The sequence below is a fragment of the Homo sapiens genome, chromosome 1 (genome assembly GCF_000001405.40).
Source record: "Homo sapiens chromosome 1, GRCh38.p14 Primary Assembly".
Lineage (NCBI taxonomy): Eukaryota > Metazoa > Chordata > Mammalia > Primates > Hominidae > Homo > Homo sapiens.
The window spans coordinates 78,522,417-78,543,445 of NC_000001.11; the positions used below are offsets into that span (position 1 = coordinate 78,522,417).

Here is a 21,029-nt window from a genome sequence, read left to right on the forward strand (position 1 = left end):
CCTAGGTTGGGCATATTAAAGGGGTCATTTTTGAAATTCTGCCTAACACAAGTACATACCCAGCTTTTGTTATGTACTGTTATATTTTTGTTCATATTCTTCTACTCCTTTCTCAAAGCATATACACATGTATTAGAGAGGCTCTATCGAGCTTGTCCAACCAGACTTATTTTGTTATTGTTGTTCTGTTTTGTTTTGTTTTAGGCTTTTAGCAGACTGAAGCCATGGTTTTCAGTTTCTGTCTCTAGTGATAAGCAGAAAAGAGGGATGAGGAAAGGGCTTTACTGGCCCAACAAGAAACAGAAACTAAGAACGCATGACTGTATTCTCTCCCTTGGACGCCCCTGCAAAATCTGTTTTTTCTAAAAAAACAGTTTGACTTTGTGAACCCAATTTATCTTAACTATCTGTTTGGCTTTACTCAGGATAATTGACTTCCTTTTTTCTCCTTTTCCTTATCATTGAAATGGGAATATTAGTGGTACCTATGTCAGAAAGTACATAGGAATTATGCAATAAGTTTTAACTATGTAATTATTATTATGTTAACCAAACTAAAACACTTTTACTTTGTAATCTTCTTTATTTTCTTAACTACATTATAATTATTTTCCCTTATATGCAAGCATTCCTAGGTGACATCATTTTAATGGCTGCAAAGTATTTCATTGTGTAGGTGTACTATAATCTCTTTTTACAAATCCCTGCTTGTTGGAGATTGCTTACATATTTTTTCATTTTATAAACTACACTGAGATGAACAACTTGTAGGTTGTTGTACACTATTTTTATTTGATTCCTTAGAATAAATTCATAGACATGGAATTGATTCAAGGAGAACTGGCTTACTGATATATTTTTCCAAATTGCCCAAATTGTCCTACAGAAAGATTGAATTAATTTGCACATTTCCTTCCTCTTAGTCCCAGAAATCTCATTTACTTTTAAAGACACTTTTTATATTATAGAATAATATCTTTAGAGAATGAGTCACAGGTAGTCAGTATGTTGGGACAGTGGAAGAAAAAGGAGAAATAATTCAGGTCGAAACTCATGAGGAAGTGGTCATGAAAAGAAGTCTGAGCTGAAGAATAAGTTTTGTGGGAAAGGAGAATGTGAAAAACACGTATAAATACCTTTGGACTAACCAGGAAATAGGGAGTCTGGCACAGGTAGGGTGGATAGGATCTACACGTAGCTCTCAGATATGATAAAGTTTTTGGTAAGGATTATTAACACTGCAACAGAATTTTATTTTAGCTAATTTTTAAATAATATTTTAAACTAGCTTATATAATAAAGAGATGCCACATTATTATGGTGAACCATATTCTGTGGTTTAAATGATAACTTGTAAATGAGTGATATTTTAAATGTTTGTTAGTTGGGGTCTGTCTGCATTTCACTGTTTAAAGAAGAGACTCAAAGGGTTTTTCACATACTCTGGTGATTCCTTAGTTTAAATGTTGAATGATACACTCCTAACTCTTGGGAACTATATGCCCAGCATGTCTGAAAGTAGCATCTAATCCAGCAAATATCTCAGTACTAGATTTCTGAAAGTAAAAAAGTGAAATTTCAGTAACTCCTTTGGAACACAAAGGTCTAGTGCAACTTACATAATACAACAATGTGTGGTTTGCTTAATCTTAATGGTGCCTTTTGGGCAGCTGGTGGAGTCGCTACTATTGAGTATATTCATTAGCTCATTAGAAAAGAATGACATCACATGATGAGGGCACTTGTTCAAGGGTGTGAACCTGTCCCTGTATGCATCCTTCCTCTTTAAACCCCCATCCCTTCCACACCATACTCAACAACTGCACACACATAGGGCTTGATGAGTTGGTTGGCTTCATAATGCACTGGAGCAAGAGTAATCCATTTGGTATCAACAAAATGAGGAAGAGGATAAATACATGTTATCTAGAGGATTACTGGACTTTTATTAGTTCTTGAAGTGACTTCAGAACCAAATACCTAGATTCGACTTATAATAGATGCCTTATAAATGCTTATGGAATGAATATTTGCATAGGCCAACTGTTTAGTTATGTAAGTCAGCAAAAAATTTAAAAAGACATTAAGTTCTATTTCAATGACCAATAAAAGAGAGGCAAGACATTTGATTATATCCTGCATGCTTTCTTTCTCACTGGCAATACAACCTGATCAGAATTTATCTACCTTAGCTAGTGAACAATGTCCTAACTAAAGGAGCTTGGGAATCACAGTGTAATTTTAGATGTTACAGATCTTATGCAGTCCCAGCTACGATACTAAATGGCTATTATCTTGGGCGAATCACCTTCCCTCTTGCTTTGGTTATTTTTTCTCCTATGAAAAGAACAAATTAGACTACACAATTTTTAAATTCTTTCCAGTTCTAACCTTCTGTATCTTTCTATAATAAAATATTTTTCTTATACCAATCAGAGGGAAATGTGGAATAACTTCATCTAAAGCTCTACACTTTGGACAAATGCAAGATTTTTTTTTTTTTTTTTTTTTTTTTTTTTTTTTTACTGTTAATGTATTTGACCCAAGATAACCACCTTGGCTTAATCAAAAGTTCACATAAATCCTCCAACTGCTTCTTAGTGGTATGAAAATAGTACCCCATCCCCAATTCCAACATGCCAGATGTGTATCAGGATGCCTAAACTGAAGCAGCCCAAGACTATTGTAATACTTCCAGCCTTACTTAACCTCTGTCATACTGCCATGCTCAAAGATGTAACAAGGACCCAGCAGGGCAATTCTGACACTAACTACATGGAGTTAGTTCAAATTTCATAGATATATAGCAGAGTCCCCCAGAAGACTGCCCTAACTTCAGACACCATCTGCAAGCTTGGGAGATTCCCAGCCACCTGAACTTCTGACAAACTGGCTACAAATTCAGGTTTCCCACTACCCTCTTGAATTTGATGATTTACTAGAATGACTTGTAGAACTCAGAAAAGTACTATATTTACAATTTTATTATAGAGGATACAAATTAGGACCAGTCAAAAGAACAGACTCCTATGGTGAGGTCTGGGTGGGTCCCAAACACTGAGCTTCCATGTCCTTAGGATGTTTCACCTCCTACTATATTAATGGGTATCATCAACCAGGGAAGATCATCTGAATTGTGGGAATCTAGGGTTTTTAATTACATTTTGGTATGTAGGCATAATTGATTGAATAATTGATCATGTGATTGAACTCAGTCTCTAGAAGGTCAGGCTGATATCATGTGGTTCAAAGCCCTGACCCTCTAATCACATGGTTGGTCTTTCAAGTATGGCCAGTCCCCATCCTGAAATTATTTAGGGTCCCACAGTGAGTCACCACATTAACAGAAATTGAGACTTGGTCCAAGGTGTCCACCAGAACTAATAAAGATACTCCTATCATTAAGGAAATTCCAAGGGCTTAGAGGCTCCCTTCCAGGAACCAGGGACAATGACCAGTCAAACTCTTTATTACACAGTAAGACTTAAAAGTAGTAGCAGAATATTTTGTTTGTTTTAAAATCTTAGAAACTGTTCCAATTGGAAGTAGTCTTCTGGAATTAGCATATTCTTATATTACTAATTCTTCACATAATGATCGTACCAAGGAAACACAGTTGATTTTGGTTGATTGCTGAGACTGGTTTGTACTAGACTTACAGTATGCCTTTAAAAACAAAAACAAACAAGTGAAAAAAAGGTCCTGCCCAACATTGCAAGAATTATACACAATTTATATTATTCACTGGGACTAAAAAATTATTGCTAGATCTTTATTTTAAAGTGGTCTCCTATTCAGCAATAGAAAATTGAAGATAATTAATGCTTTCTTTATGAGAGGCTGTGGAGTATGGGATTGCTGTGGCATCAAATTCAACACACTGAGAGCTGAGATTTGATGCATTTCTAGAGATAGTGTTAAATGAGATCACTGGATCCTGCTAAACATGTTCTAGTGCTCTTGCCTTTTGCTGTATGTTTGGTGTCATTCATCAGCAGGGAATGGCTGAAATGTGAGGTGTAAATTGACAGAGTAGAGAGAACCTATACAGTTTTAACACCATAGCCACAGACATCCAGGCATCCTAACATTTTGTCCTAAATCTTCCTGAACCTGGACGGCAGGATGAGAACACTAGTGATTTTATTGGAATGAAGCCAAGACAAATAACCTTTTTTTGTGCTCTTTATAATATAGCTCTCAAGAATGAACAAATAAAAAGAATGGGGTCACCATATATATCATTGTTTAGCAAGTGACAAGTGACACAGTGAGCAATCCTTAGTCAGTGGCATGACAAGGAAATACTCAAGACAGACACTGACCTGTATTGTGAATGAGGTGCCTTGGTGAAGCAAAGGTTTGGGCCCAATAGTGAGTCAAGGAGCCATTTCAAAGATGGGCTACAGTCACTCATTAAAAGGGATAGAACACAACTGTGCTGATCGTAGAATTAACTGTGACTTGTCCATAAAATAGAGGGAGGATGCAATCTGTTTTATAGAAGGCATATCTTGCAGGGCCTTGTAGCTTTGTTAAGGATAGATGATAGTCAGCAGGCTGAAATTTTCTCTCTAGTGGACCACTTTGACACATTCTCAAGGTTTTATTTGTATACATTACCACAAGACATGGACTTCAGTTACAATGGCAGCAAATATAATACATGCTACTAACTATGAATTTTTAGGTAAGATGAAATGCTTCTTAAAAGACTGTTGGTCAGAAATCTGGAGATTGGTACTTTTTCTCAGAAAGAAAATCAGCTCAACCTAATGGCTGTATACTGCATTGTAACATTTATTTTTATTTAAAAGTTGGATTTTTATGATTTAAAAAAGTAATGTGAGTCTTCATTTAAAAGTTTAAATGGCATAAAGACAGCAAGTTTTCATATAGTAGTAAAATTGTATGAATTTTAGACAATGATTGATGGCCTCTCTTGACTGTATCTTAAACAAAAGGACTTACTGCAATTTTTTCATTATCAGTGTTATGCAAATATACCAGTAAACGACTGCTTTCTGAGATCTTAGGGAAGTAATGATTAATGAAGTATAAAAATGTAATTGTAATTATATCACCTAAATTATGCCAAAGAGATACATTGGTGACATACTTATGCTAAAAAGAGAGAGAGAAAAAAAGACTCCCTCTCTCCCCAAATCTTACAACACATTAAATCTGTCTTCTGTTGCATGTTGAATATAACAGTATCAGGAACTAGATGAAAGTTGGTTATTCATTTATGATGATGATGAGGCTGCTGAAGCAGTTGGTATAGTTTTGTGCATTACAGAGAATGTTGTATGCCAGTTAACAAATAGACAGCCACTATGTGCCCAGCACAGAGAGAAATGAGTCATGGTTTGTGACCTCCATGGATCCTAACATTTCTTCTCATTAATTCCTTCACTTGGTATTTACTGAATGCCAGTATGTACCAAATATTGAGCATGACACTGGGAATAAGGGTGTCCAGAAGACAAAATCTTTTTCTTGATGGAGTTGACGGTTTAATGGAGTCATGGCATAAGCTTCCGAAACAGTTGAAGGATGAGTAATACACAGAAAATTGTCAGGAGAAAATTATGTGGGGTATAACCATTGCACTAGATTGTTTTGTAGAGGAGACAGATTGGCACTGAACTTTGTGGCTAATATTTTAGACCATGAGATAGGAAATGTATTCAAAAGGCTGAAAATTACATGGGAGAGAGTAAATATGATCAGAGATTTGACCCATAGGCTGTTACCTGGAGAATGCTTGGGTATACATTGACTTATAACTAAGAAAGATGAATTTCAATTTTCTGCTTAGGTATGCTGAAGAAAAATTAAAAGTGTAACTCCAGAGAAGTAAGTTCAGAAAGTTAGCAAAAAAAAAAAAAAAAAAAAAAAAAAAAGCACAACACTCAAATTGTCTTATCCTTTTGACCAAACAACAAGATTGACTCAAGTGCCACCACTAAACTGAACTAATTTTAGTGAAATTGACTGGATCATCAGGAAGGGCTGATTTTTTGTCCCGACCAGAAGTATATATGGATTTTATCTTTAACTAGACTCATATTATGCTTTAGGGTTAAATAGACATTTATTATTAATTCTGGCTCAACTCTTTTCTGTGTGTTCCACGTGCCTTAATTTGTTGGTCTTCTAGTATCTTTGCATTTGGTCTGTAGGTTTAGATTGGCTTTTTCAAAGACAAATTTTCTCTAAAATGTATGGATATCTTTTATTTTTGAAAGGACACTCTTCTCATTTAAAACTCCCATCAAATAAAATAGATAGATGCCGAGGCACAGGGAACCAACACATACATTCCAGTAAAGAGATAGGTCCCAAAACAGTGAACCAACAAATGCATTTTAATACATAGTTAGATGTCCAGGCACAGTAAGCAACACATACAAATTTCAATAAATAAGTAGATGCCGAGGCACAGAAGACCAACACATACATTTCAACAAGTAGATGGATGCTGAGACCGTGAACTAATACACACAGTTTCAATAAGCAGATAGAGGCTGAGGCACAGCGAACCAATGCACACATTTCAGTAATGGATAGATGCCCAGGCACAAAAGACCTACACACATTTCAATAAGTAGATAGATGAGAAAAAAATTCTCATTAAATAATTAATTATTGTACCACAACTTTGAGAATGCTTTGAAAAATCTTTCCAAACTACTGTAGCAATAAACTAAATGGGCCAGTTGGAAATTTCTTGCTGGAAAAAACATAATGTGTTATAGGAGAGATGGTTTACTGAAACGCCTAACTGGTATGGTCTGTTTTTGCTATTAAAACGACGTTGCCAGTGGTCAAATAAAGTAGCCTTTTATTCCTGAATCATTGTACCTCCAATATTACAACTAATTACTGGACTAGTTTTTTCTTTAATTCATAGATGGGATGCTAATAATTACTTCAGTCATGATATTTTAGATAAACATTTTTTATTAGGATGAAAATGTCTTATGCATCTATTATTACCAATATTTGGAGCATAACTAATATTTTCTTAGTGTAACTATGTGTTTGATGTAGGTAATCATATCTGGAATGAGCCAGAGGTTTGAAGTAAAATGCCTCAAATTCCTTTTGTGCCAAAGTAAGGCATATATACAAATATAAGATTTTATAGATGTGTTTTCTTCTTCTAAGACTTTTAATTTGCCTACTGATTTTTTAATTTCCACCACTGCCAAGGAATAGAAATAATAAAATAAGGATAACTCTTGGGTGAATACAAAAGTTTGGATTAAAAAAGTAAAAACAAAGTCCAAAAGGACATCTGAATATTAGTCTAAAGCAGGGGTCCCCAACCCCCAGGCCCAGGCCTTTTAGGAACTGGGCTGCACAGTAGGATGTGAGTGGCAGGTGAGCAAACATTACCACCTGAGTTCTGCCTCCTGTCAGATCAGTGGCGGCATTAGATTCTCATAGGAGCACAAACCCTACTGTGAACACATGGGAGGGATTTAGATTGCACGCTCCTTATGAGAATCTAATGCGTGATGATCTGAGGTGGAACAGTTTCATCCCCAAACCATCTCCACTGCCAAGGAAAAATTGTCTTCCATGAAACTGGTCTCTGGTGCCAAAAAGGTTGGGGACTGCTGGTCTAAAGAATAAGAGAAAAAGAACTACTGAAATGAAAATCATGCCATTCATCATGGGACAGATAAGAAGAAGGAAGATAAAAGGTACTGAGCATTGTTTTATTCCATCTATCACTATTAGTGAATCTATTAGTGATACTTTTTTACAATTACCTTTTCATTCTGGGACAGATAGCTGTCCTCTGCACATTCATTGTTTTGACAGCCATCCTTCTGAAGGACACCTTGGTTATGTGGAGTTTAACTCATTTGATTTTCCTATTGGTTATATCTGTTGTTATGGGCACAGAAGATTTGGAGCAAAACATTTATTAGTACCAGTTCCTACTTTTTTAAAAAGATGCTAGTAAAAATGTAATTTTAGAAATATTGGATGAGAGTGTGCTAGAATCAGCTTGAAAGACAACTAGACATAGGCAGATGGAACTAGAATCATAGAGAATTAAAAATGAGCTCTCCTGGTGCCATGGAGGCTAACACACAAATCCTTAGTCATCATCTCCAACTATTCAAATCTTGACTCCACCATGTTTTTGTTTGGCTTGACCTAGAGCAAGTTAACCTCTCTGTACCTCAGCTTCATCTTAAAGTAGAGATAATACTGCTTCTCTCAGAGGTGTAGCAGGATTAAATGAGATAATAGATGTAACATATTAAAACAGTGCCTGAAACATAGTAAGTACTCAATAAATGTTAGCTATTTTTTAATCATCTTATTCATAAATATAACATAGCACCACTGGGAATGGTGTAGTGGAAGACAGATTTGAAATCCAGATAGACTTGGGCTGAAATTTTGCCTTTGCCACTTACCAGCAGTGTGAACTTGGGCAAGTTAATGTGTCTGTGACTTGGCTTTCTTTTTGGCAATATCAGAAAGATAGCAACCACCTCTGGGGGTTTTAGGAGGATGAATTGGATTAAAATATACAAAGTGATAACATGACTTTTTCCTTCCCTTTCCTCCTTCCTTGAAGACACATTGGGGTAAAGAAATTCCATGATCCCTCCTGTGCCTAAGCCACCCCAGTGGACCTGGTCTTCTTGCACCATCCCTGTGGCTGGAGGTTTGAGATACTGACAGGTATATTTGATGGCCAGAAGTAGGTGGGTCAAAGCTTCTTTAAAGTTGAATCGAACTAATTGATTAGTCAGTGAGTTTGATTTAACAAGAGTGAACTAACAACCTATTGTGCAGAGGATGCAGGGATGGCAGAGCTTCTTTAAACAAGAGCAAGTCCTCTAAGACAGAGACGTCTCTGTTGTAGCACCTTGAATCCCACCACCTCCATCCCAGTTCCCAAACCCTTCTGGGATCTGGCCCAGGTAGGAGTCTCTACATCCCTACTTCCTTCTCTTCACCTGCCCCAGTGATCTTCAATTGTGGCCCTTCCTTAAGAACAGCGAAGGCTTATGGGGAGATGTAAGGTCTATCACCATAACAATTAAAAAAGTTAAAACTCACTTTAACTTTACTAGGATTTCTTATCTTGAGTAAATAGAAACTTTTGGGCAGACCAGAAGTTAAAGGTCATAGAGAGTCTGAGGAATTCCTTGAAACAAAAGTTCATATAAGTTTTCTTTCCTTTTATTTAATTAATTAATTTATTTTTTTACCTTAAATCCAACTTGACTCTTTGGACCTGTGGTTGCCTGGCCTGCTTTCTGTTAACCCTCCTAACTCCTGTGCTTGTAATTGCCTGTTTCTTCTTGTCTTCCCCAACTCAAGTGTAGGAGTCTCTTCCTAATGATGTTCTACAAAGTAGAGGAGTAGGATTTGAGAAAGTTAAAGACATAGTTCCTACCCTCAAGACACAAGGGACTATTATACATATACTGACATTATCTCATTTCAATATGTTCTACATATTATACTGATATTATGTTTATCAATATTAAAGGAGTGGTGTCACACATAATGGCTGTATAGAATGAGACATTACTCAGCTACAGAGAGATCAAGAAAGGTTTTCTGCAGAAGATGGGACAAGGGTAGGAGGATTTAGATATGTAATTTTTAGTGAGGGAAGGGCAGGGAACATGGCATGTTTTTGGCATTTGTGAAATATTTTGTAACTAGAGAAAACAAAATGCAATAAGAAAAACAAATAACTAGAGACTGGAAAACCACTTAGGAGTCTATAATATGATGTTTGCTTTTAAAGCGATAAGACACTCAACGAGAAATGACAGAAAAACAAGGTGTGGATGGAGAGGCAACATGAAAGTGGATCAAACAACTTATACATGGGTGCTGGCTCAGACGTGACACCTGAGGCTCCAGAACTGGAAGTTTATGCCGTCAAGTAAATTCATTTATATATATATATATATATATATATATATATATGTATATATGTGTATATATATGTGTGTATATATGTGTATATATTTGTGTGTGTATATGTGTATATATTTGTGTGTGTATATATGTGTGTATATATGTGTATATATTTGTGTGTGTATATGTGTATATATTTGTGTGTGTATATATGTGTGTATATATACATACACACATATACCTTTTTGTTTTTTGAGACAGAGTCTCAACTCTGTTACCCAGGCTGGAATGCAGTGGTGTGTGATCTCTGCTCACTGCAACCTCTGCCTCTCGGGTTCAAGCGATTCTCGTGCCTCAGCCTCCTGAGTAGCCGGGACTACAGGCATGTGTCACCATGCCTGGCTAGTAAATTCATTAATATCGAGTCACAGATATGTCACTGTAACTCCGTGTATATATGTATATTTATATATCCATATTTTCTAAGTATTTGAATAATTTGAAAAATAAGCAGGGAAAAGTGAAGGCTGTCTTACTCTACATATTAACTGAGTAAAAATATTAAGTAAGAGGTTATTTCTTGTAATGTACTATGAACTCGGATCAATCCACAAGGAAATATATAAGGCTAATGTAGTCCTGGAGGCACAGATAGTAGTTTGTCCAAAAGGAAATGATGCTCCATTGAGCTTTGTAGTTATTGGACCATATATAGAGTTAGTTTATTTCTGTCCAGTGTATTTTCTTAAAGAAAGATTGAGAAAACTAGAGTATAAGAGGTAGTGGTTTGCAAACCATTTTGTATGAAAAGCAGTTGAAGAACTATAAGACTAGTATTATTTTAAGATATGTGAAAGGCTGACATTTAGTAAATGGATTGATTATCCCATGATGCTCTAGAAAACTAAATTAAAATATGTTGAGTAAATTTTAGCTCCTGGTAACAGAAAATATTCTACAACTCATACAGCTCAAATGGAAAAGATTTTTTCCTGAGTAGTGCTGAGACTTTCTTCTCACATACTTAATAACATCCCTAAGTAATTTCCACTTTGTATGGAAGTCTGGACTAGACAACATTTTCCTGTACCCTGTAAGATTTGTGATTCTGTCTTCTCATGAGAGGTGATGTAGACAGTCCTCTGTGTGCATAATAAATGGAGCCCATTGTTTCCTTCTGTTCTCAGAATCCCTTCAGTTACATTTCTGTTTTACTCACATTAACTTGGGTCTTGGCGGTAGTGCCATCTAGCACGATGCCTACATACAGCAGACACTCAAAACTACTTGCTGCTGGATTGATTTATGTTTATGAATATGCAGAGGAATGGAAGCATAATTATCAAATTTACCATTGCTTTGAATAGTAAACAGCCACAGAGCCCTGACTCTGGCCAACAGATGTACAGACATGGGGGAGAGATGATGCGATAACATCCAGAATAAAACCTTAGCAAACATGGGCTCTATTATCTATGAGTAAAGTAGCCTGGCAGATTCATTAACTTTGATGATGTTAACAGTTGATAGAATTGTTTTACGTGGCCCAAATGAATGGAGATTCATTGTATTACCAGCCTATTTTATTCTTTGCAAGCTGGCAATGAACATATACTATCCTTCCTCCATGCTTCTTTGACCTCATTCTTTCCCTTATCTTAGTGTCCAGTGTTTTACAGTTATCAGGTGAATTAATTTTTTCATAGAATATTCAAATACTTTGTCCTGTCTACTTCTCAGAATTCTAATCATCAACAAGGATATACAACTGTAATGTGCCAATGTTCACAGGAAGAGATTTTAGAAAATAACCCATATTCCTTTAGCTCCATGTACTGGGTAGCTCTTGGAAACTGTATGAAAGACTGTGTGTATGATGAGACTCTACCTAAGTGTCTGGAATACAAGTGCGGGTGGGCTAGACAGAGAATAATGTTCTCAACGCTTGTCAGGAGACTGTTGCCAGAGACCAGAGAAAATGGCTTCCGACTGCTTTTGTCGAACCAGCTTGCAGACATCCTTGTTCTGACCCCAGCTCCCACATGTCTCTTGCCAGCCTTATCAGGGCTTCAGTTTTCCAGGAGATTCTGTGGTAACTTCAGTGCTGCCCTACTCACATCCATAGAGATGTACACAAATAATCCACATTAGTTTTGATTCTTTAGTAAAATAGTATATCTCCACAAATTTCTTAGGGGAAAAAACATAATTTATAAAAGCAATGCATGATCGATCTAAAAAATTAGTGAATTTGAGACAAACAAAATGAGGAAATCAAAAGTCTCTGTAGTTCTGCTCTCTAGAGTTAACCAACGAAAACAATGACATACACTCCAGGCTTTTTTCTATGAACAAAATTACATATTTGGTTTTTTTTTCAAAAATGGAATCACACAATCAATACAGTTTGGCAATTTGCTTTTTAAAAGGTTAACACTGAATCACAAACATTAAAGTCCGCATATATCTCAATTATGTGAAAGTGTTATAATTTATCTTCTGTTGGATACTTAGGTGGTCCTGAATTATCAATATTATGAATGTATTTGTTATTACTAATATACTAATGATAAAGGATATTTCTTTTACAGAAATACTCTCCCCACATTTATTGGTGGCTGAATGATTAGTGCTTCTCCCAAGTCAGGCTGTGGAATAACCTCTTTCCAAGGCTGGGGTTAGGGGTTAAAGGTGGAGAGAGAGTAATGATGAGTGCTTGGGCAGTGCCCTAGTGTTCTGGGGAGAAGCCTGGGCACTGGGCTCCCTCAGAAGAGGACTCTATGCCTTCCCACATCTGGTGACCACACTGCTGTTTGTAGAGGAGAGAGGAGAATCAGAGGAGTGTGCACCATGTAACTCAAAACAAAAGGAGTTACACAAACAAAAGCTCAGGAGGGCATGGTGCATCTGGGAAAGATGAGGTCTTCACAGTGGTTGTATCATACGGAATTTGCAGGGGAGATGAGAGAGATGAGATTATAGAAATAGACTTCAGATGCATCATCAAGGAGCTAGCTGAGGAGTTTGTACTTTATTGTGTAGACAATGAAGGTTTTGATAAAGAACATTTATTCTTCAACCATTGGTATCATCAGGTCAAATTAAGATATACATTTCTTTCTAGTAATGGGTCTTGATTTTCTTTGTATTTGTGTTTTGGTCTTTGTTACGTCATCTTTTAATGGTGGCACAATGGTCCAAGCTTCACTTTTCAGTTTTACCTTTTGTTTACCTATTTCTTATTTGTTTGTATATCCAAGATGTTTTCAAAGCCACCTTATTTGTTCCACAACTGTTTGTTTGGAAGTCAAAGCTGGGATCAGTGATTTGCTTAGTTCTAACATGTAGCTGGGACAATTTATAGAACTGATTCCATGAAATGATCTCTTCAAAATCATGGGTGGTCAGGAAATGGACACATGAAATCACAAAATACATTGTTACAGTTAAGTCACAACTGTGGTGTAGAGAGAAACTCCTTTCCTCAAAGTCCTTAGAAAATTCCATTGCATACTTTTTGGAATGTTTTAGCCAAGTTAAGGCTAAGGCTAAGAGATGTAGAAAGGGAAATAGAAAATTGAAGACAGTGGTATCCTTGTAGTTAAGAAGCAGAAAATCTCAGAGTAAAATTTGTCATATACCATTTGCAAATTAATATCAGATGCTCTAAATTCATTTTGTAAAACTATTTGTTAGCTTATCTATAATTTATTTATTTAAAAATACTTCATTGAAATAAAACAAATGTGTGTTGGCTTTGCATTTACTATTCTCAGAAGTATGAGAAGGTCAGTTACTGGTATCAGTGTTTGTTCTCCCTTAGGTGATTCTGTTTATGCATATTTGACTTACTATAGAAGTTATCATTTTTGTAGGTCTAATGTCAATTTGAATTAAAATGATTCATTTGTCTCCATCAGTGTTTCTGCTATCATTGATTTCTTTCTGTCAGTATTTTAAACAATAGCATCACTCTGTGGAAAGTGAAATGAATGTCATCTAGCATAGCTAATTTTTTAAAAATTATAGGATTGAAAAGGCTGCATCAACTAATTTCCGTGTTTTCTTCGTTTCTAGGTTACAATGGCCAACATTGGAATAAATGGAAATCATTCTCTGGAAACCTGTGAAACAACACTTTTTGCTCTCCGAATGGCAACATGGAATCAAATCTTAGATCCTTGGGTATATATTCTTCTACGAAAGGCTGTCCTTAAGAATCTCTATAAGCTTGCCAGTCAATGCTGTGGAGTGCATGTCATCAGCTTACATATTTGGGAGCTTAGTTCCATTAAAAATTCCTTAAAGGTTGCTGCTATTTCTGAGTCACCAGTTGCAGAGAAATCAGCAAGCACCTAGCTTAATAGGACAGTAAATCTGTGTGGGGCTAGAACAAAATTAAGACATGTTTGGCAATATTTCAGTTAGTTAAATACCTGTAGCCTAACTGGAAAATTCAGGCTTCATCATGTAGTTTGAAGATACTATTGTCAGATTCAGGTTTTGAAATTTGTCAAATAAACAGGATAACTGTACATTTTTCACTTGTTTTTGCCAATGGGAGGTAGACACAATAAAATAATGCCATGGGAGTCACACTGAAAGCAATTTTGAGCTTATCTGTCTTATTTATGCTTTGAGTGAATCATCTGTTGAGGTCTAATGCCTTTACTTGGCCTATTTGCCAGAGAACATCTTAATGCAGCCTGCATAGTGAAATGGTTATTTTGAGATCACCGCTCTGTAGCTAACCCTTATAAACTAGGCTCAGTAAAATAAAGCACTCTTATTTTTTGATCTGGCCTATTTTGCCCCTCATTGTGTAGCCTCAATTAACACATGCATGGTCATGACACCCAGAATTCATGATGGTTTGTTATAACAACCTCTGCATATTCCAGGTCTGGCAGACAGGTTGCCTGACCCTGCAATCCTATCTAGAATGGGCCCATTCTTGTCATATTTGACAAATAGGACTGCCTACATTTATTATTATGAAGGTCGATTGTTGTTGGAAGTGTTTTTTCATGTCATAGATTAGCAATTTTCAAATAATTATTTTTTCTCTGAAAATTTTGTGTGTGATTGCACAATAAATAATTTTTAGAGAAACAAAGGCTCTTTCTCAGCACATTGATGGGCAACTAGAATTACAGCAGTTTCAAAACTCTACCATGGATAATGCAAACAAACCGAAGCTACATGCCAATGATAGGTGCAAAGAATATTGGCAAAAGGTGCTTTACCTTGAGCCATTATTTGTGTCAGAGAACAAAAGAAACAGAATCAATATATAAAATTCAAAGACTATCTGCAGCTAGTGTGTTTCTTCTTTACACACATATACACACAGACATCAGAAAATTCTGTTGAGAGCAGGTTCATTAAATTTGTAAGATGGCATATTCTAAAGCCTGTGCTACCAGTACTAAGAGGGGAAGACTGGCAATTTGCCAAGCACTTGGGGATTATTATAACAATTAACTAGGAGATCAAGAGATAATAATCTCTCCCCAAATTTTCCAATAATAATTGAGACTTTTTCTTTGCTTGTTTGTGTAATTCAACCAAAAGAATTTCAATACCCATTCAAATTGTCCTAGGTCTATCAGAAATTAGGGAAGGTAGTCCTGCTTTATAATAGGAAAATGTATTTCTGTATAAGAGTTCTTTGCTTTCATTAACTTGGATTCATTTAAAAATTAATCTTCCCTGTTAGGCTGATTTCAGATTCTCTAGGAAATCTGTGTAAGTAACCAGAAGACCTTTCAGATGGTTTATTTGCTTTCAGCAGAGAATTTATTTCATACAGTTACTTAAGAGTGTTGATGTCTTGTGAACAGAGATATAAGGAACCATTCTCCATCCTTCCTTATCATGCTGGGTACAATGCTTCTATGAATATTTCCATGTATTTTGACTGGGGAGAGGCATGGAGAAGAAACTCTCATTCAGGGGCTCCAGGATCCTTCTCCTTGAGGCTTCTAAATAAATGGCAGAATTCTTGCTGTATTGCCATGATGTCACCCTGGCCATGTGTACTGACTTGAGGAGATCTTGCAACATGGCCATGTGCAAGGCTTTAAGGAGTGAGAGAGATGTGTACATATCTTAGGAGGGTTATCTATGTTATCTGAGTATATGTTTGGGTAACCAAATTGGTCTTAAAAATGATGTTAACCCAAGAAGTAGACATCAAAAATTAAAAAAAAAAAAAGGAATGTGTTTTCATTGTTTTAAGTTTTTCTTCTGAGTAAAACAAAATTATAGAAAACAAATGCAACAATGTGCACATCTGACTTAAGAGTTTCATTTCTGTTATTATATGTGTTGCATGTAGCTTGGCGATTTACTGTGTAATGAATAATAGACTGGAACATCTACCAATAACTTTCACATAAATGTTCAAAATAGAAGTGTATTTTTTCAGGTTTCTGGAAATAAATAGTAAAATAAATGGCACAAATAGTTTCAATAAATTTACCAATTTGAGTGTTTTCAGCTCTATTTCAAAACTCATAACTAATCTTCAGAATTACTGAATTTCCTTTTGAACTGGGTAAGGCATTATCCAAGCAACTTCACATACTATTTAAACATGATTTCTCGGTAATTATATATTCTGGGCAAATAACATAAACATGTCAGGATTTTTACAGGTGTTAGTGAATTTTTCTAAAAAGATGAGACAAAAGCAAAAATATCACACATAGGTTTTTATGACTATGAATACAAAGATAATGCTGATTCACAATTAGCTATGGGTAAGTCCAAAACATCAGACCTTTTACTGATGGGTTAACTAGGTGAAAGAAATGGGCCCTTATTTTTTTTTTTCCCTAGAGGCAGAAAGTTACTTCTAATGATCTATATAGCTAAAACGAAAAATACCTGAAAGTTAATACATACATATGTAGATATATTTTGTTATGTGATAAATGTTTCTTGTTTGCACACTTTTGGACTTGAGAAATCTGCTTTTGTTTTGTGCCTACTCTGAGTTTAGAACCCAAATAAGAGGACTTGTTAAATATAGAGTGTACTTTTTGTTAAAACTATTGCTAGCTTCACCTGTATACCATCATTGTTCCAAATTAAATAACTGTTTTGGGTCAGAATATAAATGCTGGGAATATACATTTTATTACTTCTTAATCTGGGTGTCAAAGATTTTACCACCTGGTAAATAATGTTGGACTTCAACTTGTTACTGGCACATTTTAATAGTAGATGAAACATGTTTTTCTTGGTTATGTGAATAAATGTATGTTGTGCTCTTCATACTTGTTGGATTGTATAGAGATTAAATAGTGATATGTATATTTTGTTGTTTGCTTTGGTATGCAACTCATGTAATTTTAGTGCTTTGACTAGCTTAAAACTTCAAACAAGTAATTTTATAATAAAGTTGGACTAATGTTTTTCAAGAGTGATTATTTTTAGAAGGACCATATAAAACTTGAAACGCTTGAACCTAAACTCCCGTTTTATCTGCTACTGGATGAGAAGAATTTCAACTTAATTTCCATTATTACCTTTTGCTCTCCCACCCTGCCCAATCTTCTGTGATATCTTCTCTCTTTTACCTGTGTCTCAACTTACCTAGGCAAGTCATAATTTAGATAGAAATCTGATTTCCCAAACCTCCAGGTTTAGATATATCATTCAGAAAAGCCTCAATGTGTCTGTAATAAGAAACAATCTCCAAATTACAGCGCCATAAACTTCACAAAAGTTTGTATCTCCCACATGGTTCCTGTCCACTCTGAAGGGGAGCTCTGCTGTTGTAATCACTCAGAGAACTCAGGTGAAAAAACAGCCACCATTATATGTGGCTGTTTCTCAAACTACAGAGCATGGTGAATCACACACAGGCTGTTAGAATATCCATCTGGAGGCAACACACATTTGCATACACTTCTCCAGCTAACATAAATAATGTGGCTTTACTAACTTCCCAGGGGGCAGCTAAGTGCAATACTATATGTTAGGAAAACGGAAACTAATTTGTAGACAGCACTAATGATTTCCACATTAGGTAAAAAAAATTTTCATTCTTGTCTTCCTAATAGCATTTAAACAGAAACGATTTTTAAAAGTTGTTTTAAACATTTAGAAACATCATGGCATAGAAACATTTAGGACTCACTCTTTGTAAGTACTGACAAGCATGGTCTTGTAATCTGTAAAGATAAGGTAGAATAAATGAACTAAAAGAAATTTTAGATGACTAAAAGGACTATATAATAGAAAGAGGGAAATCTTGGTTCTTAAAAATTCAGGCAATTGAAACATTTCTGTATAATACCAAGCATTGTTGCAGTATTGTCTGAAATGGTTGCTTTTCTAATAAATGAAAATGACTAAAATGTATTTTGCCTTTGCACTTTTAATTTCCCTATAATAGCATATATTTACCTTGATATAAAGGTAATTTACTGAGTTCTATCAAATTATTGGAAAAGCTGAAGTATAATCGCACTGGAACAAGATAAAACTGTACATTCCTTTTCTTTTCTTTTTTTCCAAGTGGGAATAGTGCCTTCATTTTGAACTCAAACATGACAGTACATGAAGTAAGTCAGAAACTTGGTAAAATTAAGTCTTAGCAATCTTGAGATGTAGTTTCATATAAACCAAATGTTGTGTTCTGAGCTTCAACTGAAAGTTATTGCACAGGATTTTTGGCAGAGCTGTCTTTCTGCCCTGCATAAATATAAACTGAAAGCAATGTGATGAAGATATGATATGTGATTATGAGAAAGTCATTTGAAGGTTTTTATGCTATTAGTCTCATATTTGCTAAAGTATATTTTCAGTAAACAATCTAGATAGTTTATGAGAAAATCATGAACATTTCACTTTATATTTATCTTACATTAAAGAAGAGGCAGAATACTGAAATCTGAAGGAACTATATCTTAAATTTGAAGTGCACTTTAAATTTTAACAAGGATCGAAACTCAATCTTAGTGTTTCACATTTAACTTGAATTATTTTCAATGTCTGATTTGTAAAACCCCAAATTAACAAAATGCATTGTGTTGTTGTAGTGCTAAGCTCTACATTAAATGAGGTAATCTTGTACTAGTATATAGTTACATAATTTTAGTTTTAGAAAGTGAGGCCATGCTAGACATACGTTGTACTGAAAATTTTTATTTCAATAGTCCATGTCAGTACATAAAAGTATTCTTTTCAACAGCTAGATAGTTGTATTAGTCCCTTTTCATGCTGCTAATAAAGACATACCTGAGACTGAGAAGAAAAAAAGGCTTAATGAACTTACAGTTCTACACAGCTGTGGAGGCCTCACAATCATGGAGGAAGGCAAGGAGGAGCAAGTCACATCTTACATGGATGGCAACAGGCAAAGAAAGAGCTTGTGCAGGGAAACTCCAATTTTTAAAACCATCAGATCTGGGGAAACCCATTCACTCATGAGTGGCATGGAAAGACCTGCACCCATAATTCAATCACCTTCCCACTGGGTTCCTCCCAGAACACATGGGAACTGTAGGAGTTACAATTCAAGATGAGATTTGGGTGGGGACACAGCCAAATCATATCAATAGTATTACATAATATGAATTTGTATCATAATTTAAATAACAATTTTCATTTGTTTCCAGTTATTTCCTTTTTTCTTTTCTTTTTCCTTTTTTTTTTTTTTTTTTTTTTTTTTGAGATGGAGTCTTGCTCTGTCACCCAGGCTGGAATGCAACGGCGTGATCTCAGCTCACTGCAACCTTTATCTCCTGGGTTCAAGCAATTCTCCCGCCTCAGTAGCTAAGATTAAAGGTGTCAGCCACCATGCCCAGCTAATTTTTTTGTATTTTTATAGAGACGAGGTTTCACCACGTTGGCTAGGCTGTTCTTGAACTCCTGACCTCAAGTGATCTGCCTACCTCAGCCTCCCAAATTGCTGGGATTATAGGCATGAGCCACTGTGCCCAGCTCCCTCTTTCAAATAATGCTATTTCAATATGTATGTTCTTATATTTCTATCTATCTTAGCAATTTGCAGAATCACCAGATTAGACACGCTCATTTTCAATGTAGATATGTACTGCTAAAATATGTATTGTGCACTCCCATTCTCTTCTAAGAAACAATGCTTGCTTCTTGGTATTAACCACTGTGTATTTTAGCAATCTATTTTTACCAGTTTAATAGACTAAAATTAAATCATATTTAAACCATACTTTATGTTACTTGTATATTCCATTGCTAATAAAGTTGAGGCATCTTTTCATACATTGGTAAGTCATTTATACCACCTCTGTGAATTTCCTGTTCTTGACTTTTTTCCATTTTCAATGTTTTTTTTTGACTTGCAGTAAGACTGTGTATATTAAGGATATTGCCCTTTTATTTTTTATATATAATATTGTTTGGCTGTGTCCCCACCTAAATCTCATCTTGAATTCCCACATGTTGTGGGAGGGACCCAGTGGGAGGTAATTAAATCATGGGGGCAGGTCTTTCCCATGTTTTTCTCATGATGATGAATAAGTCTCAGGAGATCTGATGGATTTAGAAATGGGAACTTCCCTGCACAAGCTCTCCTTGCCTGCTGTCATCCACATAATATGTGACTTGCTCCTCCTTGCCTTCCACCATGATTGTGAGGCCTCCCCAGTCATGTAGAACTGTAAGTCCAATAAATCTCTTTCTTTTGTAAATTGCCCAGTCTCGGGTATGTCTTTATCAGCAGCATGAAAACAAACTAATACAATATATGTTACAATTTTTTTTCCAGGCTGCCATTTTATTCTGCAGTGAGGGTATTTTGTTGGTTTGTTTTTTACCATGTAAGAGTTTTACAAAATTTTACAAAGTTTTAAGTGAGACTTATCTTTTGTAGATTCTTTGATTTGTTTCCTGTTTAGAAAACATTTCTCTCCTCAAAAATTATAAATATATCCCCATTGTCATTTTCTACAATTAGAGTTTTGTTTTACCTTTAGTTTTTCTAGATTTTATGGAATTTTTTTTTGTGTCTCATGTGAGTTAGAAATTTTGTTTTCCCATAAACGTATAGCCAATAGACACCCCAATAGTTTTTAAGCTACATACTTGAAATCTTACTTTAGGTAGTGTATTAGTCCATTCTC

The 21,029-nt window shown here is 35.5% G+C and overlaps 1 protein-coding gene across 3 annotated transcripts in view; it reads left to right on the forward strand.

The window, feature by feature from the left end:
- Window positions 1-18,285, forward strand: part of PTGFR (prostaglandin F receptor) — a 49,728-nt gene extending 31,443 nt beyond the window's left edge. For all 3 annotated transcript variants that reach the window (XM_047426085.1, NM_001039585.2, NM_000959.4), the window contains one exon: window positions 13,990-18,285. In XM_047426085.1, the coding sequence (XP_047282041.1) occupies window positions 13,990-14,271 (282 nt within the window). In that variant the 3' untranslated portion in view covers window positions 14,272-18,285. The remainder of the gene's footprint in view (window positions 1-13,989) is intronic.